This window comes from Homo sapiens, chromosome 1, assembly GCF_000001405.40.
Source record: "Homo sapiens chromosome 1, GRCh38.p14 Primary Assembly".
Lineage (NCBI taxonomy): Eukaryota > Metazoa > Chordata > Mammalia > Primates > Hominidae > Homo > Homo sapiens.
The window spans coordinates 81,261,852-81,284,478 of NC_000001.11; the positions used below are offsets into that span (position 1 = coordinate 81,261,852).

The 22,627-nt window shown below is 35.6% G+C and overlaps 1 long non-coding RNA gene across 1 annotated transcript in view; it reads right to left on the reverse strand.

The window, feature by feature from the left end:
- Positions 1-6,355: 6,355 nt before the first annotated feature.
- LOC107985018 (uncharacterized) overlaps positions 6,356-22,627 on the reverse strand; it is a 30,564-nt gene continuing 14,292 nt past the window's right edge. Inside the window, exons 2-4 of the long non-coding RNA XR_001738115.2 lie at positions 17,223-17,420; positions 16,124-16,263; positions 6,356-7,132 (exon numbers count right to left, since the gene is read on the reverse strand). This is a non-coding gene — a long non-coding RNA (uncharacterized LOC107985018). The remainder of the gene's footprint in view (positions 7,133-16,123; positions 16,264-17,222; positions 17,421-22,627) is intronic.

The window sequence follows — 22,627 nt, forward strand, 5'->3', positions numbered from 1 at the left end:
ATATACATATATTGCTAACTGAAAAAAAAAAGCCAGTCTGAAAAGGCTAAAAACTATATGATTCCAACTATGTGACGTGCTGAAAAAGATAAAATTATGGAGAGAGTAAAAACATCAGTGCTTGCCAGGAGTTTGCAGGGGAAGAGAAAGGGATGAATAGATGGAGCACAGAGGATTTTAGGCAGTGAAACTATTCTGTGTGATAATATACTAGGGAATACATGACATTGTCCATTTATCAAAACCCATAGAACTGTGCAACACAAAAGATGAACCTTAATATAACCTTAATTGTTGACTTTAGTCAACAATTATGTATCAATATTGGTTTGTCAATTTTAATAAATGTGCCATACTAGATGTTAATAATGAGAGAAATTATGTGTCTGTTTGGGGCAGGTGGGTGTAACATAAAAACTGTACTTTTGAAGCAAATTTTCTGTAATTTACAACTGCTCAAAAAAGTAATCTATTAATTTAAATAAGTAAATATATGTAGCTACTAATTTGGAACTAGCTAAAATATTAGCCTTTTAATCCCATAAAAGAACGTTGATGTAATTTCTATCATTATCTTCATTTTGGAGATGAGGAAACTGACCCATCCATGTTGGGTGACTTTCCTAAGCTCACACAGCTACTACTTGAGAGTTGCAGGTGTGGAACCCAGAATGGATCATCTCCAGAAGCAGCACTCCCAATTATTATGCCATGTTACACACTCTAAAGACATTAAATGTACAAGGGATATAGGTTGATAAAACAAGAGCTTCTGACGGGACACGGTGGCTCGTGCCTGTAATCCCAGCACTTTGGGAAGCCAAGGCAGGCAGATCACCTGAGGTCAGGAGTTCGAGACCTGCCTGGCCAACATGGTGAAACCTCATCTCTACTAAATATACAAAAATTAGCCAGGTATGGTGGCACATGCCTGTAATCCCAGCTACTTGGGAGGCTTAGGCAGGAGAATCGCTTGAACCTAGGGGGCAGAGGTTGCAGTGAGCCGAGATCAGGCCACTGCATGCCAGCCTGGACTGAGCAAGACTCTGTCTCCAAAAAAATAAAATAATAAAATAAAATAAAAATAAGAAGAGAGCTTCTTTTTATGATATATGGTGAGAGAGTGAATGCATCTATATGAGTAGTTGTGCTAAAAAGAAAATTATCATTCAAGAATGAAGTTTGACAGTCCCAGGGTTTGGTTTGTTGTCATTGTTTACTATTTTTGTTGTTCCCTTTGAGAATAACTTAATCGCTCTTGACATACATGGTCTTTTGGTGACAAACAAGAACTTTTAAAAATGCTGCACAGATTTCAATATGGATAGGTACAAAAGCATATCTTTTTTATTTCACTTTTTAGTCTATTTGTAAGGCTAATATATGTCTGCTGTAGAGGGAAGAATTGATTGTCTAATTTCTGTAAAGGATTTCAAAATATACCTGAAGTGCCATTTATGTAAAATTAGAGATATGGCAGGACAAGCCATTGAGTGTGAAACAGAAAATTCCAGTCAACTGATGAGCCCCCCAGGCACAACACAGAGGGCTTTATAATTTTCTTCTTTAAAGTAGTTTCTAGATATTCCATTATCATGACAATCTTTCCAAGTCTAGATCCTCAAAGTGACCTTTTCCCTGCACTACCCAAAATAGAAATTTCAGTTCATCCCTGCCTGCCTGTGGCAGGAATAAAGCAAACCCAATATTCAGCCTCTTCCCAGATTACACAGTCCATAATAGAATATCATCATAACTTCTTTCCAAAGCAGAATATTCATCCAATTAAACTTGAATTTTTTTAAGAATGCTCACAATAAAAAAGATAATTGCATGGTTGTCAAAAATTATGACTAATAAGGTACGGTAGAGCCTCATAAAATAATTCTTATAAAAAGATTAACATTTACCATGTACTACTAAAGAAACATAATTGTAAGAGATTTAAAAATAAATAACTGGAAAAATAATAAACATTCATTGCACATAAAATATACAACCAAAATGAAGTTCAAAATGGTAGAAAAATACATTAACACAATAAATTTGCTTATTCAACATAGGGATATGGCCTACTATACAGAAATTAGTTTCTTTAAATACTTGTTTTAAAAAAAGAGGTGTTTTTCTTTGAACTCTGTTGTGTCATGAGGTTATTCTATAAACAGGTTTCTATTGTAGACCCTCACTAAAAGTCAAAACCTTTAAGGTACAGTCCTCACAAAAAAAAAAAAAAAAAAAAGTCAGGGAAAACCTTTCACACATACACAAATGGAGAAAATTGCTAAAGAAAGGAAAAAAAGTCCGCTTGACAGATAAGCAATAGCTCTGCTTACACAGTAATTTATGGTAATATCAGAAAGCTTTTGATAAATTTCACACATATTGCAGCGTAGGACATTGGAAAAGATAAAAAAAAAAAAACCTCAAAGAGATAGGGGAAATTAAACTATTTATAGAGGGGGAAGTATTTTGTAAAAGAAAATTTGGCAATTGGTTTTGATAGTCATAACAATTTATGTAATTTCTATGTTCTTTGGGGACTTGCTGTCTGAAAAAGTGGCAAGCTAACATTTTCTCCATTACTACAAAAAGTCATTTTTGAGAACAATAAATATGAGAAGGTTTAATATATATATATATATATATATACATATATTTTGTGTGTGTGTGTGTGTGTGTGTGTGTGTGTGTGTTATACGCTACATACATAGTAAGACATCTGGTAATGTTTGTGAGCCAAATAATTTTCTATCATTTGTTTAGTTTAGATCTTTTAAACTCTTATTTTTATTTTATTTGATAGCAAATCAATTTTCCAATAAAATAATTTTGCCTTTGGGGTATTATAATGAAAAAGCAATTTAAAACATATTTCTATAACTACTGAAAAGTACTTTCACACTAGATATGCAGTAACTAAATGAAGAAATATTCACACGAGTTGCACTTCCTTTCTTGTTATCAAAAAAACAATGAGCCTTAATTTACATATTTCTCCATCAACCCCTTAAGCCCTTATTAAGGTCAAAGCTTGAATATAATATATTTGTTATTCTACAGAATTTTATATTTTGAATTTTAAAGTACTATTTAGTGCTCCGATTTCACTTTCTATATTAAAAAAATATAAATGACATCAATGAAGACTTTTTAAATGAATTTCCTTATATTCTTCAGTGACCTTTTTAAATAAACTGTCCCTGCTTTCCTCTGAACTTCAATACATCTTTGGCCTGTCATTGTCATTCTTAATCATTGATGTCTCAATTCAATCTCTGACAACAACCACGATGAAGCTCTTCATTTCAGGAAACTGGAAACATTTTGTCATGCAAAAAGAGCGTATTATGGGAACTCTAGTTACTTGTTTTTAAAGAAGACTGACAGGAAAATTTGGATAAAGAAATGCAAGTCTGTCTCTGCTCTCCCTAACAAATCTCGCTTGAGGCAGAGCTTTAATGAGTAGTTCTGGAAACTTCTTAAACAATATATATATATCTCTGACCTGGATGGTCAACCCTTTCAAGCTGGCCAATGCTTTTCAATAAAGATAATATCAGAATCTGAAGGAACTGGTTTGAGTTTCTAAAGCATTTTGAGGAAATATTTTGTGAGAATGGGAAGCATATTTTAATGCCATTCCCATGTTTCCCTGACAATGAAAGCTGATCTGCAAGGGCGTTGAAAGCATTACAGGCTAATTTCATTGCAATGTCGGGATCTGAGAGGGAGGTGAGGAGAACCAGGAGTTGGGTGGGGGTTCAAGAGCATCGAGGTGAACACGGTTGACCCATTGGAAAATCACTAAGTGCTGGAACCCACTCTAGAAGGTTCATGTTTTGAGCCTTTATGGTGATTGTGCAGCTCTCTTGAAAATTTACACTGTCATTTTATTTATAGCAGATGTCTCTTAAAGCAAACATTTTTACTTCATACTATACAAATATTACGGAAAATTGCAAACATAATGTGGAGTTTTGGTCATGCTGTAGAAATCTACAGTATTTTCTATAATGGATTATGAGCAAGGGGAAAAAAACTGATACTGATCTAAGGCTGAAGGATAAGGGGTAATCAAAACAAGACTTCTGCAGATACTTTTATGAAACTTGTTTTCAAAGAAAAGGCAAAAGTTGAAACTGTGGATTAAACCAACTAAATTAAACTGTCGTGTATTCAAAATACATTCCGCACTTTAGAATAAAATGACCAGAAGCCAGTGTGAGGCAACTCCACTGTCTGAGCTATTCAAACAAAATAGTGTTTATTTGGATTTTCCTAAACAAAACTTGTATTCGATTCTGGTGCACACCCAGTGGGAAAAAAAATCTAAATACATATTTCATTTTTCTACCAGTTCTGAATTGTAGTTCTCTTGTGAATTAATTTTGAGTATAGTGACTTAAATGTACGCTCTGTGGCTGCTCAGCAATTGCTGAACTGCCTGATGGAAAAGTTTTAGCATCTGAAATTTAGCTCTTAATATAAAATAATATAAAACTATAATGTGCAATTAAAGGAGAAAGTAAATTCTGTTTGGAAACAGAATTCAAAAATAGAAAATTATATAAACTTTGGAAATTAAAATCCATATAAGTAAAACCTATATTTCTGAGAATTCGCTGTTTCTTATGCATGATTTATAACAATACACATTTCAAAAAGGAAGTCATTAAAATAATGTGGCCGTTATGTTTTCACATGCCTTTTTGAGAGTTTAACCAGTACAACAGAACAATCTCCCTGGACTCTAAAAACACAAATCCGTGACAAGGACATAAGATTGATGGAATTTGTAATCATATATTTTTACTTATGTAATAAATTTGTAATTTCAAGGGCATTATTCAAAATGACCACACTGCATTATAATGTGTGGATTCCTACGCTGTTTTGCATTAATGTCTGCAGAGAAATTTTACACTCTTAATCTGCCATTGGTGCTTCAGTGGGTTGCTTACCGTTATAATTCTGGTCACAGATGAGGGTTAAAATGTCTCTAACCTTTACAAATGTATTATGTGGCACCACTGACATAGCTTTTATTGCAGATAAAACCTATGACAAATTTTCTGTATGATAAAAGAAGAACATGATTTCATATTAAATTCTGATGATAGAGACATATTTCTCTGCTTGTACTTCTGAAATGTTTTGGGTATAGTAACAATGGACAACACTTCCTCTTCGATTACATCAATAAAATCTCAAAATCCCCTTCGTTTTTATGGGTCCAGAGCTTCAGTAAATATTTCTTAAGCAGAACTAAAAAACAGTGTGAAAAATCTTCAGAATTCAGTTCACTGCTAACCTTGCTGATCAAAACAGACAAAACATTCAGCTGGTTCAACATAATGAGAAGCAGAAAGAGGGAGCCACAAAAGAGCCTGGAAATTGAGTGTTGCCATGAAGGTGTATAAGAGCTCGAGCAAAATTTTCTCAAATATAAGCATCAAGATAACAGTAGGTCCCTCTGACAGTCATTTAAAAGAAAGAATAATGCCTATTATAGTAACTTCAAGGAGTTATAAAAGCACTTGAGTTTTCAGGGAGTCATAGACTTGTGAAATGTTTCTGACATTCCATCAAAAAATTGGTGTTGTGACATCATTATAATACATAATCATACAGTCAAGGAATGATTAGAAGTAAATCCTTAATAGCATTTTTTTAAACAAATTCCACATTGCATTCCAGACATCTTCTTTTTTCCTTCTTCCGTTAGATTGAATGATCAAGAGAAAGGTGGATAGAATTGTCTCCTGATGCGTTTTCTGGACAATTTCTTAACAAATGAGAATTCTATTGGTCTGCATTTTTTTTCATGTTTTGTGATTGTCAAGAACCTTACATAAATCTATGTCTGATGATACAAACTGTCTAATATTGTACTGAACACCTCTTCAAAATTACCTATTCAGGGGAAAGTATCCCTTTAAACTGCCAGGATGCCTCACAGCTATCAAGGGCTGTGTGGACTGTGTTCAAGATTCTAGGGACTTAAAGTATAATAATAATAATAAAAAAGACGCAAAATAAAAATAAAAACTTTTTAACAGAAAAAAAAAAAGATTCTTGGGGATCTGCCGAAGTTGAGTCTTCATTTATTTCTTTCTCTGCATGCCACTAGGGACTTCCCTAGACTATTTGAGGAATAGGCCTTTAATTGCAAGATTACCTGAAACCAGACCCAACAAGCTTGGAGTAGCAAACAGTCAAATTGCAACCCCCTACCAAAAAAAAAAAAAAAGCGACATGTGGCTTTAATTTTATTTCATTTATTTATTCTTTCAATTTATTTTTAAAAATTCTTGCCCATTGCTTCAGCCTTTGGGCCCATGTGCATAATAAAAAACATTGCTGGGAATAAATAATACGTATTAACTGTGTCTATTAGGATTCCCCCCTAAAAAGTTCATCAAAATGACTTATTTTATAGTAAGGAGTCTCAATTGCAAGTCTATTAGTAAAATAATTCTATTAAATTGTATGATATTTCTAACTTCAATTAATTACATTTATATCTAGCTCTATAGTGTAATGACTTATAATATTAATTGTGATTTTAATTTAGAAACAGAACTTGTAAAGTTTGCCTCGAGTTTTAGTGTTTAATGATTTTTCCACATTTAGACTGTGTCTACAAATTGAGACTTTTCCATTTTTCTAGTTAAACAACTGGTCATTTCAAACCTTCGTGTTGATGATTTTTCTCCACTGAATTGACCAATTTAATTTTCTCTAGGGCAATAAAGAAACACAGTATAATAGACAAACTAAAAGTGACTACAAAATAATGTTTCACTTTGGCTATGTACTGTTCACTTTTGGCCATATGACCAGAATTTTATTTTCACAAATATTAGAATCAGAGTTTCCAGTGGCTGAAGCCAGAGAAGTCCAAGAATCTGATTTGAAAATAGAATATTGTCATGCTTGACATTAGTTAATAAAACCAACTAAGATGTCTGTGCTGGATCAGCAATAAGTTGATTCTTTCCCACAATCAACAAGTTTTACATTCGGTCATTGCACCCCAGAAAGCAAACTGGCTGCAAGGTGACCTTGGCCTGGATCTCAGTGCCTCCATAGGCAAGTCTCATACTTCTTTGTAACTCCATTTCCTCATCTGTAAGACAAAGATTGATGATGAAATGAGGTAGTAGATATAAAGTGCTTAGAACAGAATCTTTCTCAAGTAATCAATAAATGTTTGCTATTATTATTATTGTCATTCAACCTAATATTGATATTCAAATTTTTCACTTTTAACATGTTATGCCACTCGCCTGAAATAACCTTCTCTTTCTGTCTCGCCTTTGTAAATTCAATACTTTCTTCATAGTTCAGTTGAACACCAGCCCAAGGTGATTTCTCTTTTCTCTCAACTCATATTGACCTTTTATCCCAAATCACAGTTTAAGACGTGTATATTCTCCAAAGATTTCTTACTTCCACACACACAAAAAAGTACAAGTTTCTGGAAGAAGGGGACAGCTTGCTACATTTCTTGTGCCTAGATTTGGCATCTGATGCATGCTGTATCCACGTCACAATTAACGCACAGAATCCGAAGAGTTAATGAGCCACAGCTTATGACATCCTTTATTTTTCCTGGTCAAGTTAGAGAACCACATTGTTTCAACAGAAACCTACTTTGTTTTTTTGAATTTTTGTTTGTCTTTTTGTTATTTTTTCTTAAACACAACAATTGATGTTCCTTTAATGGTGACTTTATATAATTTGGCCTTTGGATTACAAAATACATTTTTACACACTAAAATTCTTTGGATTGAGTCCAACAAGCTCCAGGATTATATAGTGTTTTCCTCTATACTGCAGCCTTTCCAAAACAGGTTTTATATCTTAATGTCGCATTGCAGAATATACATACAGATTCTTGAAAATGTCAGGCTCCTTCAATTCCCTGAAGCCAAAACAAATATGTCTACTATTATTGGCACAATTAAGAGTTACAATTATTAGGCATGGCGTTTATATACATGCAAATCTTATTGTTAACAATGGGAATTTCAAATATTTAATATTTGTATATGGATTTCATTTGAGCTCATTAAGTAAGTGGCTTGGAAAAAGAGAAGTAGTTGAATTATTACATGTCTAGAAAATGGTATTTAAATTTTTTAATTGCCTCATATTAGTAAAAAAAATCTGCATATTAAAATGATACCTCAAAGAGTCTGATTTCATTGCTTATTTCATTTTGTTACTTTGCTAAAAACATAGCTCTTATCTAGTTATCATTCATTTCTTCTCATCATAAACCAGAGTCCTTTAATTCTTTCACTGTGTCATAAAAGATTCAATAAATTCTGATTTGCATTTCAAATTCAGCTCTTTTTACAGAAGGACATCAGATTCAATGACAATTACATCACTAATCTCTTCAGCACTGACAGTGGGAAGCCAAGCTCAAGCTCCTTCCGACTGAAGTCCTAAAGATGGAAGGTCATGTAATGTTCCTTCTCAGCAAGAGTGAATTTTTATTTTGGTAAAATCTTCATTTTATTTTCATTAACGAATATGTGCTCATTTAACCCATTTGTTGTTTAAGCATTTCATACTATTTGTCTCTTTCTCCTTTCATTAAGAAATGAGCATCTTATTATTTTTGCTAAAAAAAGAGGAAACTTACAGTGTTGATTAAGCACAGTAATCTGTTGTTCTTATTATTGGTGTTATTTTGGAAATATTGAGGAAATTATATTCATATAATTTGGGGAGGTATTTTTCCATTTTGTTGTTGTTTAACCAATTGTAATGACCAAAAATGTAAGCACTCATGTATGTATAAGTATGGGTGTGTATATGTATGTGTGTGTAAATAACATCTACAAATATTTTAACACCTAGTGTCAGAGACAAAGATAAATCTACCTCTTGAATAAATGTATTGTGAATTAATTATTGCTCTTCTAGATTCTATATACAATTTCCTCTATCTTCAAAGACTTGTCACAATTGGAGCCAATAATACTGCACAAATTACACACAGTTGAAGCAATTATATTTTTGGTACTTTATAAATGTTGCTATCTCTGTAAAGGAAGGAACAATATAAAGTAAATAAACATGGAAGTCATTATAACAATTTAGTATAGACTAAATTTAATGAAGTAGTTATCAATATTCTGATATGCACATAACATGGGCAATGAATAGAAACTAAAGAGAATTTTTGAAAAGAATATCAACTTCCAAACTATTTTGCTATGTTATACTGAATTAAAATAATTTTCTTTTATTTGTACAGTATTTTCTGGCTTTTAGTATATCAACTTATTTTAAATCCTAATTATTTTACTTATATCACAATTTTAAGCTGTATGTTATTCAGATAATAGCTACTCACCAATAACTATTTTTAAGTTATTTTTTACGAGTAAGACTTTTTGCATTAAAAGTGAATTTTAGAAAGCATAGGGGTAATGATGGGTGACAAAGTACAAGATCACAAAAACCGAAAGAATACATGTTATTTCTGTATTTTTTAAATTAATAGGTCTGTTTTGACTACACTGAACCTAGTTCAGTCAACCAACTATTACAAGCATATGTCTTTTCAAGTATAAAACAGATACTGAATGAACACTTGTTAAATTAAGGAGAAAAAGAGTCAATAAGTGATTCAACCTGTGGTGACCAAGAAATTCCATAACTATGACAGGATAAGCTGCTCAATTAACCAAATGAATTGTTTGATTCCATCATTATTTTTTAATTCAAACATAATGGAGTTATATAATATAATGGATTTATAATGGAAAATTTTAGAAAACTTAGTATCAAAAATACATTGAAATATAAAATAAAATCTACAACAAAATACGGATATATTTTCAGGTTAATTTAGTGTAATTAATTTCCAGGTTAATTTAGTGCAAAATGCCCAGTCAAGTTAAGGACTTGGAAGTATGTGTGGGCCAAAGCATTCAAATTTATTTAAGGCATATACATGTTGTACTGGGGAGCCTTCAGAATGAAGCCTCCCTAGGTGGAAAGAAGGAAGAAAGAAGTGAAGAAAGGAATTTAAAAATTGATAAAACAAATAAATAAGTATTCATTTGTCAAAAATAATGTGTTGGCTGAGCTTGGTGGCTCACGTCTGTAATCGAAGCACTTTGGGAGGCTGAGGCAGGTGGATCGTTTGAGCTCAGGAGTCCGAGACCAGTCTAGGCAACATGGTGAAACCTCATCTCTACTAAAAACACAAAAATTATCCAGCCATGGTGGCCCATGCCTGTGGACCCAGCTACTCGCGAGGCTGAGGTGGAAGGATCACTTGAACCCAGGAGGCAGAGGTTACAGTGAGCCAAGATGGCACCACTGCACTCCAGCCTGGGTGACCCTGTCTCAAAAAAACAAAAACAAAAGTGTGTTGATACTAATCATGTAATAAATGGTAACTTTTCAAGTATAAGTTAGGTAAATATTTCTTTTTCCTCTCCCCTTTCCTGTCTAAATCCATTACTTTGCACATTTTTGAGAGAATAAAACATGAGTTTTTTAGTTACTATCTTGGTCTATTACTGCATAATAAAATAAATTTTTCTTAATTTGTAAAAACTGAATCATGTGAATTATCCATATAACTTTATATATACAGTATGTGTGCACATATACACACATATTTAAATGTTTGTTAATTCTGGGAAACTATAAAAATGAATTTGTGTGCTAAACTGAAACTAACATTTTTATTTTCTATAATCTGATCATAGAAAAAAGTATCCGTAATGAGCTTACAGTACATAAATTATTGTCTGGGTGTTAATTGCACTCAAAAAGCTACGTCTGCTGAAACCACAATTGCTAAATGGAAAAAAAAGATATATATATTATTATCCAAACAATGCCCATTTATACAGATATTAAGAAACAGTTGTTTGTTATCTTCCAATCAAACATATCTAAATGTTTTGTGTCATAACAACCAAACAACTGAATGATTGACTAAATTCTCTAGCAGGATGTTTGTGCATTATGTAGACATAACCAATGAATTACTGTACTTTTAAAGGCCTGGATAAATTCTCAGAAGTTTTTTATGTGCACAAAGACAATGCAGTTGTATATGACCTTGTTATTACATGTGAAGAACGTTAAGTCTAGGAGAGATGAAACGTTTTCTGATTTTCAGGAGATAAATGCATAAATACATTTTTGTTCAAAATGGTCTCCTTTTTTTCAATATACACAGTCACTGAGAGAGACCAGAAAATGTCTCCTAGTGGAAAAATAGACCAATGGGAGGACATAGTTGGCAAGCAAGAGAGGAGATGGTTGACGGGGCATAAACAGAAAAGATCCCAGAGGCAAAAATTGTATCGGAACAGCTAGTCATGGATGAAGGGGCATATGGGGAGTATACAAACTTGGAGAAGACAAACTTGTGCTGAGACTGACCACTTCTAGTTCCCAAATCTAAAATCCACACAGTCACCTGTCCTGATGCCCTGGAATTTCAATACTCTAGACATAGCTGTTACCATGCTGCTTTAAAAAAGTGCAGCAAGGTAATGCAGAGTGTGAGTTATCATTCACTGAATTAATCAAAAGCTTTTTCCTAAACAACTGCCATTAAGAGTTTAAGAAAACATCATTTCAGATGCACACGTTAGGTGGAGGCTAAAATGAAAAGGTAAGGTTTTGAATAAGATACTGCAGGGTCAAAAAACTATTTTAATACAACCTTAGTTATTCACCCTGTAATTTTTATACATGTGTAGATTTCCACAGAAAAATAAATAACTAGAGAAGAAGAAATGCCTTAGTTGTGTCTTTAAGAGAATTTAAGAAATCAGATTCAGAAATAGATTGTATACACAGACCACCCTGGCAATTCCTGTTTTTTTCAAGGAAGAGTGTTGCCATTATATATGTCACTGTCCACATTGTCAGTTTCACTCTGAAGAAATCTTTTAAAAGCCAGCGTTGCTGCAAATCCTGGCACAACTAACCATTAAGCTTTTTTTCAAAAGTATTGCCATCGATTTGTACTTACCAAAGTCTATTATATATCTCATGGGTAAGGCCTTTAATTGTTTGCAAATAATAAAGAAACACATTGGAAATATGAATGAAATAAAATATGACAAAGTTCTATTACGCTGCCCATAACCCTCAGTAGCTTTCTCTAAAACAATAACAACAACAAAAAAAAACAAAAACAAAAAACAACACTTAAGCTTTTCCCTTATTGTCTTAAAATCATATTTTCGTACTTACACACCTAGAGGAATTAGTAGAGTAGACAACTGAAGGCCTTAAATAACCCAGAGAGCAGAAAATGCATGGGACCATTCTTGAAAACACTAGAAAAAATTCTGAGAGGTGTGGTTTATTATAGTGCTCAATAGTATTAAAATAAATAACTTAGTTGTAAAAATAATAATAATATCGAACATACTGAACTGATTTTAGAATAACAGTTTCAAATGATTTTAGCCAGGGACTTCTCTGACATTCAACTAAATTTGATAGACTTGGATTTTTGTTTCTTTTGCCTTTCATAACCCAAGGCCAATGCTTAAAATAACTCCAGATTCAGGTCCTCTATATCATCCTCATCTGTGTTCCCCAGGATATTCCTTCTAGCCCTTTTTCTGCCTACATTTCTCATCCATCAAAAGAACTATCCATCTCGTTTTTCATTTGCACTACATTCTCACCATGCTATCCTTGAAATCCATTCTATGGGACCATGTTCTATGTGAAAGTGCTATAATTAGATCCTTCTGGGTCATTTGGTAATGAACCCATCTGGATTTCATCCAACATACACTAGTTTTATACCAAATCTGACCTATTATGGCTAGAATTACATTAAGGTTCCATTCTAAGTCCTTTCTTATTAAAATTGTGAGCTGTCATCCTGGGATTTTACGCAACAAACTATGAAAACTAAGCTTATATAAGGATAATTAAGTTAAAGTACACACTTTTAGGTGTGACTTTCTTAAGACTGAGCCAGAGACAAAGACAAATAGCCAGATTTTGGACCTCCTGCTAATTAGAATGGTAGTTCTCAAACTATTTTAACCAATATCCATTTAAACATGGCAAATAACCCTAAAAATCACCTGGACTATTCTCAATTTCCATTGGAAACATTATTTCATAATAGCAATGAAACATTACCTATTGTACAAATAAATTTGGGGGAGGAGGTTAGAGATAAATGATATAGATGATGCTCATATGATTCACAATACACATCTGAGATACACTAATTATAAGATTAGAGGGTGGACCAGGCACGGTGGTATACGCCTGTAATCCCAACACTAGTGAGGCTGAAGCAGAGGGTCGCTTGAGCCCAACTGTTTGAGACCAGCCTAGGCAACATAGTGAGACCTCCATCTCCACAAAAAAAGAAAAACAATTTTTGTTTTGAATTAGCTGAATGTGCTGGCACACACCGGTAATCCCAGCTACCTGGGAGGCTGAGGTGAAAGGATCACTTGAGCCCAGTAAGTTGATTGTGCAGTGATCTATGATTGTGCCACTGCATCCAGCCTGAGTGACAGAGGGAGACACTGTCTTAAAAAAAAAAAAAAAAAAAAGGATTTAAAGACAAAATTAGTGGTAAAATTAAGCACTGGTACCCACTATAGAGTTAACACAAGACAAAATGGATTATGGGGAGACTAAATGAGAAGAAAATTATAAATAAAAGCCAAGGACAGTAACAATTGAAAATCAGCAACAGCATAAGAAAAGTTTCACAACATTCTAGCAGCCTTCCTGAGGAGGGTGGAAGTGCCACTCACGTCTGCAAGCTTCTCAGCATCACCAGGCACCCTGTGGGAGCCAGTGTAAAGAAAGGAAGAAAGAAAATCCTACAAACCTAGGATTAACAAAATTTGCCTTATAAACATTAAATCATTGTAACTCTGAATAAATTACATAGTATTTTACTAGTAACCAGACTTTAATTGTATACGAGGAAAATATCCTGTGGAATGACATGTCATTGCTCCTAAAGAACCAAAGAAAGAATTTAGCACCACTGCAAGAGTTCACAGCCTATCGCTGGGCCAAGGGACAATTTTTCAAACATCTGCTTCAGTACTGAGCTCTTAAAAAATTAGATGTATGTTGGTAGCCTAAAAGTTTGTCAATAATCATACCGCAGGTTATCTGGATAACAACGCATGGACCAAATACTATATATAACTCACTTCTGGCTCACAATACACATCTAGGTTCAGGTTATCACTGGATCAAGCTGTACCCCTTTATTGTCTAAGGCTAATGAGAAGTGTATTTCTTAGATAAATGCAGTGTACCTGCTAAGTAAAGGGTAACCAATATCATTTGAAATCCTGATGAAGATTTCTCTATAGTTTGACTGTAGAAAATTCTGAGAGAATTGTCACAGCAAGTGAGAAAACAGCTCTGGTGTAAAAACTGAAAACAGCCTGATTGTCATTTATGTGGTGAACAGTAATTTGATTTCAACAAAACAACTTCATCTGTCCATCAAATTAATGATCCTAATTTAAATTTTATTAGTTTTGTAGTTTTTGTTGACTTGAACTTGTAAAATGGTTTTTCTTATACATAATTATATAAAGCCAATAAGCACACAGTTTATACCTATTATGTTTAAACGTGTTTAAGTAATACTATAATAAGAATAATTAAGTCAAAGCTTAGGGTCATTAAGAAACTTTGCTCTTAAACGGAACCTATATAATGAGTGCCCTAGTTTGTGGCATTGAGAAGCACCTCTTTGGCCTAGTTAATCCCCAAGAGAACAAAACCATAAATGAACGGGACAGGATGAATCTGAGGAGAAAATGGGTACACAGTGATCGGGAAAGAGATTAGGAGACATTTCTGCAGTCAGCTGAAAAGATTATAATAAGAAACTGCTTACCAAAAAGCTTCCTCCTGCCTTTTGAAGATTTCTAGAATAATACCTCCTGGGAAACCCAGGCAACAGGAACTTTCTGGTTCCTCTAAAGAATTCTGTAATGGCCACAAAATATCTCCCTCAAACTTCCAGAAATTTTGCTAATTTGTTTTGTGTGTGTGTGTGTGTGTGTGTGTGTGTGTGTGTGTGTGTGTGTGTGTTTGACCTCTATACTCTTCTTGACTCAGAACTCTTCTTACCCTTTCCATCATTGCCACTGTTGCCAGAAACAATATGATTCCTCCATTAGGAAATTTGAGGTAATTCTTCCCGTGGTTCTTCAATGTGAACTCTTTCCATTTCAGTGCATTTTACACATTGTTCAATATTCCTACAGGAAAGTTCGGATCATTTTTGTTGCCTACTCTAAAAGCCATGAAGGTTCGACATTGCCTATAAATCAGGTATTCGAGGCAATCATCATGACATTAATGATGTTTTCTTATCTGGCTTCAATCATTCTTCCGAGCATGTTCCCCAATACTTCCTAAACTTCAACAATGTTACTAGATGTTCGTACCTATCACTTTCTGCCTCTGTGACTTTACACAAGCTGTTTTCTTAACAGAAAATATATGTTCCTCCTACTCAGGTGTCATACAACAGGTTTCCTAAGACTCCTAGACTCTGAAGCCTGTACACAGGGTTTAACCAGGGAGTGCTCTCTAGAGTGGAACTAAGAGAGTGTATTAGTCTGCTCAGGCTGCTATAACAAAATATTAAAATCTGGATAGCTTTTATAAACAACAGAAATTTATTTCTCACAGTCCTGGAAACTGAAAAGGTTAAGATCAAGGTGCCAGCAGGCACAGTGTCTGGTGAGGGCCCGTTTCCCGGTTTGTAGATGAAGCCTTCTAGCTGTATCCTCACTTGGTACGAAGGGCAGAGTGGATCTGCCTTCATGATCTAATCACGCCTAAAAGACCCTACCTCCTAATACCCTCACCTTGGGGGTTAGGATTTCAACACATGAATCTGGAGGGGACACAAACTTTCACACCATAAGAGACAGTAAGCCCAAAAGACTAAACAAAACAGGATTGTTTGGGAAGACGTTGAAGTTGCGCTCAGAAAAAATTGCAACAGTGGACTCTACTGATTCTGTTGAGAGTCTGAAGCTCAGAAAACTTTTCAGAGATGCCTCCAATCCAGGTAAAGCAGTCAGACAGGTCTGCGTACCTCTGTATTGACCAGTCATTGGAGGCTGGCTGCCCTGGAAATGGGATATAACTTTTAGCAAGCCATCTTTCTTCAACTGGAGGTAGGAGAGAGATGAAGAAAGCTATGAACAGTCACAAGTAGCTCAAATCAGGCAGGTTCTGAAAGCAGATAATAAAGAAGCTGTTTATTTCAATAGTGTATAACTCTGTGCTGCCAAGGGCATGATAGGCTCCATATGTATGTTGCAAATACTCTTTTTAGGGTTTTACCCACCATAGATACCTGTAATACCATATTGTATAGCCCAAGTGGCAAGGTGCCTTGAATTGTACCCTGGATTATACAAGAACACATTTCTTAAAGGTGGCAGACTTCTGCTCTATGCCAGTCAAGAAATGGGTTGGAGCAATAATTCTTTTCCTTTTTTCTTTTTGAGACGGAGTCTCACTCTTGTTGCCCAGGGTGGAGTGCAATGTCACGATCTTGGCTCACCGCAACCTCTGCCTCCCAGGTTCAAGCGATTCTACTGCCTCAGCCTCCCAAGTAGCTAGGATTACAGGCATGGGTCACCTCACCCGGCTAATTCTGTATTGTTAGTAGAGACGGGGTTTCTCCATGTTGGTCAGGCTGGTCTCAGGTGATCCGCCTGCCTCGGCCTCCCAACGTGCTGGGATTACAGGCATGAGCCACCATGCCCAGCCATAACAATAATTCTTAATGTGGAATATGATGCCTCCAGAACCTGAAGAAGCCTACTAAACATGATATTTACTTCTTAGTTGTAGAAGCATAAGTTGCAATGATTTGTTTACTTTACTTTGGAAGTGATGTTCTGGCATGCACTAGACTCCTAAAAATGTCACTGATTAGTCAGGTCCTTGAATCTTTGAAGATTTTTATCTTCAACCCTTTGAAGTACACATACATACTAAGGCCTTCAGTGTACAGGCTACTTTCTGCTCATCTGGTCTGATTAACAACATCATCAATATAGTAGTCCAATGAGATATATGTGGCATGTATATAAGGTCCAGATACCTTCTGATTATCTTTTGATAGCACAAGATATGGAGCAAGACAATAAATGTACACTCTTTTCTACCTTATAATAACTCACTTTTTTAGAGTCCTCCTTCTTGATGAAGATGGAAAAGCCTGCATGCTTCAACTCAGTGGTAACCATGTGCTTGAAGCCTCATTAATCTTTTAAGCGAAGACAGCATGTTCGGCATTACAGCTTCAACTGGTGCTACTCGTTGGTTGAGTCAGCAGAAGTCGGCTGTAATCATCTAGGCACCGTCTGTGTTTCTATAGGCTGGTGAATTAAACAGGAGATATTATGGGGACCATCTTTCCTGCATCCTTCCAGTATTTAATAATGGTACTAACATCTGTCATTTTTTTTTCTGGATGAAGTATTGTTCTTGATTAACTATCTTGACTGAATTTTGAGGGGAGCACTTTCGAAGGCTGCTGCTCGGCTTTCCCTGAGATAGCTCTTTCTCGTTGGGTGAAGAAACCAATGTAAGGATTTTACCAGATACCAAATATGTCTCTTCTTGGACTGTATACATGTCCACTCTAATGCTCTACCCTTCATATCAAGATCAACTGAAACCCTGTATCCAACAGTCCTCAAAAATGTCTGAGCGATCCCCTTTTCCCAATTTAGAATGGCCCAGAAGTACCTTAGCAGGAAGAATGAGGGTTAACAGTTGGTGTATTTTCTTGCTGTAATGTTGCAAGGTCTTAAGTCTTGGAACTTATTCTTTAGTCAATAATGATTTCAGATATGAAAATAGTCTCAGTTATAGAAATACGAATATTATTTATTTAAGGCCGTCACCCTTGGCCTCCTGTATTTTAAAAAGCTATATAGACAAGCAATACACTTGATGGTTCCCCATTTACCTAGAAATAAGATATTCTATTAATTATCTCCATTGCTCTCAGCAGATCAACATTTCCCTGCATCCTGGTTGTCACTCCAAACTCGCCTTCATCACATCTTACCTTGCTTCCAAAGTGCCTATTATCTTGGGATCCTCCTATTCCAACTGTTGGTAGGGCACAGTTATTTCCCCCTCTTAGTAGGTTTGGCACTTATCTGCCTGATTTCTTGTTGTGATTTAACCTATTTTGTCATCTGGTTATGAGGAGGGAAGGTAGGATTAAATACAGATGTTCTGTATTTAATAGTAAATACAGATGTTCTGTATGTTCTCTGGCAAAACAGAGACCTCTGCATCATCTTTAAGCAGTAGCCTTTAACCAGGAAGGGTAGGCCACTTCTGCAATCGCAGCAAATTCAGAGTATCTAAAGATTTGAGAATTTTAACACATAAACTTAGATGTGCTTAACCCATTTCTCACCTGGACGTGGCAGGCTTGCTAAGATGGAAAATGCAACTTCCTCTGGAGATTTGTTATGCAGATGATTAAGCACTGGGTTGACATCTGCTTTCCAACCATAGAAGACAAAAATCCTTTCTATGTTATCCAGTAGGTCCTCTGGCTTTCACACGTAGCTTGTAATTGGTAATTAATCTCAGCCTTCCATTGACTTTCTCCAGTGTATATAGGTTCCCCCTCAGCAATAGCCATCCAATGACATGACTTTTTTTTTTTGAGACAGGGTCTCACTCTGTCACCTAGGCTGTAATACGATGGTGCAATCTCAGCTCTAATCACCTCCTAAGGTCAAGCGATTCTCCCACCTCAGCCTCCTGAGTAGTTGGGATTACAGGTGGGCACCACCATGTCCAGCTAATTTTTGTATTTTTTTGGTAGAGAGGGGGTTTCAACATGTTGCCCAGGCTGGTCTCAAACTCCTGACCTCAAGTGATCCTCCCACCTTGGCCTCCCCAAGTGCTGGGATTACAGGCATGAGCCACTACACCTGGCACACCGTGACTCTTATAATTACAATTTTCCTCAAACATCTCAAACACCTGAGACACTGCTCCCAGCAGTACATTCCTTCCATCAGCATCCTATTCTAAGTCCAATTCCCCACTGGTGGAAGTTTTATCATTGCCTTGCTATGGCATGTCAAGAGCTAGCCACACTCCAACCACTAACAGTGATGGTTATAGTCAGCTGATTTGTCCAGCTCCAAAATTCTATTTTATGGTCTTCCTCCTAACACCACTCCCAGTACCAACTAGTTCAAGTTGGGCTCTCCCAGTAAACAGATACTGAGATTGAGATTTGTGTGCAGAGGTTTATTGGGCAGTGCTGTTAGGAACAACTCTGAGTAAAGCAAGGGGAGGGAGAAGGATTGGAGGAAATTAAAATGTGATATCATTGTGAGTGTAGCCTTAGCTCATCCCATTGGAACCTCTGAAGCTGAGATGATCCTTCGGAGGTAACCTAAATAAAGACCAAGGGCCAGATCTTTGTATTACCACATTAACTACTCACTGGATGAGGGCTACCTCTGGGGGGTGGCATAAACTTGGAGGTGGCATGTTCCTTTACGTCAAAAAAGCCGTTATGGAGCCCTTAACCATCTTATGCTCATGGGATCTCAGAGAATGAATATCTCAATCATACTCAAAGAGAGTACTTCAAAGGGAGATTTGTGTGGTACAACACAGTATCCACTACACTATCACTTAAAGCCTACATCAAATTCCACCTTTGTACTTCCAAGCTGAAAATATCTTCATTTTCCCTCTGAATTCCCATAAAACTTTGTTATACTTTTCTCATAATACCATCTTCAACTACATTTATAGATAAATCTAATCTTTCCTTTTATATTTAAAATTCCTTGGGTTCAGACTTTGTGTGCAATTTATCTTCAAGTTTCTTACTAAGTCTATTTCTGTACTTTCTCATTGTGTAATCAATAACTGTTTTATCTTACAAATTTCTATTCATCTTCAAATCTCAGCTTACAAATCATTTCTTCAAGAAACCTTCTCTAAACCCCCAGACTCAGGAAGATTATACATGTTCATAACACCTTGTACTTGTCTATCATCACATTAATTACAATTATATTTAATTTGTCACAAAAGTAGTTATTTAATAGGCTTCCACTGCTAGAATAAAAGTTCACGAAGTCAAGATCCAGGTCTCCCCTGTTCACTACTTTACCTACAGAAATTAGCACAATGCCTGGCGCATAATTGGCTGCTAAATAAATAGTTATTGAGCAAAAGAATGGATGAACTAATGAATGAAGAGGAGAGTCTCCTTCAATATGAAAGTAAAGAATAAAAATTAACAGTCACTCAACTAGTGGCCTGAATTTTTTCATGAGCTTGCTTTCCTCCAAAGATCTTTCTGGGATTGCACCAAGGGGCTGCTTTCTTGAGGTGATAAAAGGATCAAAGTATTTCAGGCATTTGGATTGCAGGACAGAGCCTAGTGAGACTCCAAAGGGGTTGGCCTTCTGGAAGACAACATGAGGAACTTGAGATTCTGAGATTTAAGACAGGATACAGAGGTACTTCTATACGAATGATGAATTTGGATAGTAAATATTAGTGTTGAAGCCAAACTCTGTCTTGTTTGCTATCTGACCCCATCCATCACCAATGATCAGAGGACTGCATTTGAGTCATCTCAAGACGTTTATAACTAAGCCACCTCACTGTGCTATTAGAAAACAAGAGAAGTAATTACTGCACAGGGCTTTTCTGTCAAGTTCCTTGAACAGATAACACTGAAGCCAGAAAGGATCACAAGCACTCTCTTTCCTAGCCTCATCATGAATTTTCTGTCAGGATTGGTTCATTTTATACTCGGTTTTATATATGGGTAAACATATTTATTCTATGTGTTCATGCACCAATATTTGTTATTTCATTTTAGTATTTTTTAACTTCTTGTTAAAGAGTTTGTGTTTTGGCATGAGGTTATATAAGTTCAAATCCTGTCCAATTAGCTATCTTCAAAAAACCACTTGGCCTCAGTTTCCCCATCTTTAAAACAAAAGATAACAGAAAAAGCTACCTCAGGGTTATTGTAAAGAACAAATTAAGAAGTCAGTACAAAAGCGCTTTGTATGTGGTAAATCCCCACCTCCATGATTAGCTGTGATAGTGACAGGCCATTCTCAATACAGGACATTGTTAGGTATTTATGCTACGGTGGTGGGCTTCCTTCTGTTGACAGTTTATTTGAGGCAGGTAAAAATACCATCATAACCTAAATGATTACTTTGTTCAACAAACGTGCTTCAGAAGGAAGCACCTAGTATTAGCATGTGCTAGCAAAGGCACTCAATAATTGACTGCTAACTGGTTGATGTTCATGAAAATCAGGCAAAAATTTAGGAGGAATTTTCAGTTGTTATAAAGCTGGGTCATTATCAAATGTTACTTATCATGCCTCATTTTTACACTGTGTATCGAGATTTAGGAAAATAACTGGCTAGCTTTTCTCAAACTACATATTCAGACGTAGTTTTAGTTTTTGTTTTTATTTTTTTTTTTAATTTCTTAATTTTTTTTTTCTGTTTTGTTTTGTTTAGAGACAGGGTCTTGTTAGGTTTTCCAGGCTGGTCTTGAACTCCTGGCCTTAAGTGATCCCCCTAAGGCACAGGAATCACAAGCATGAGACACTGCACCTGGCCTGGTTTGAGTTTTCTCATAGTCATATTATCTATGTTTTCATGTCATTTATTTATGAAGAAATTCTTACGGCCCACAGGTCTGATTAAGTTCCTGCTAAGGGAATCTTCTGAGTAACTTTGCCACTATAGGGAGCCCTTTGGCTTTCTGACAGAAGAACTGAGAGTAACTCACAGGCCAGGCCTTGGCAAAGCTACTTCCTAGCCCAGCTTTTCTAGGTGGTGTTATGAGTCTGGGCATACCACATCTTAACAATCTGTGCCTGCGTCCTCATTTATAAAGTTAGGAATTTCAATTAACATTTATTGAGCACTCACTACAATTAAGGAATTATGCAGGGGAGAGACAGTGATTCCAGATGGATTTTGATGGTAGCACAGATGTAAACACCTATACCAGTGTTCCATTTTCAGAAACTTGGGGATGATCCTTTCCACTCTCAACCCATGTTCTGCAGGTTTCTCCTCCTTGCATTTACTCTCTTGTAATATATGTGTACATGCCTCATCTCTCATCCAAGTAAAAGCTCCTTGGAATGCAGGGACTCCATCATAACCTTATTCTTCTTTTAACCTCCTGTTCTTACCCTTAGCATTTGAGAAAGCAGTTACACATAATAGGTGCTAGATGAAATTTTAAGTACATGAAAATATTAACACCTATTATCAAAGGAGGGATTGGGTAAATGTCATCACAAAATTTTAAAGAATTTACTCTGGATAGTGTTTATTTAGCTTCCAATGTATCCCAGAAGGCAACCTCATAAGGTAACAAAATGTCTCCATTTCGCATATAAAGAACTCAGACTCAGAGTAACCTAATAATTTGTAGAAGACTAGATTCAAACACAAGCCCATCCAATTCCAAATGCTATATTTCTACATAGTCATTTCACCCAAGCTATCACACATGAGAAAGAATGCATCCGAGACAAAAG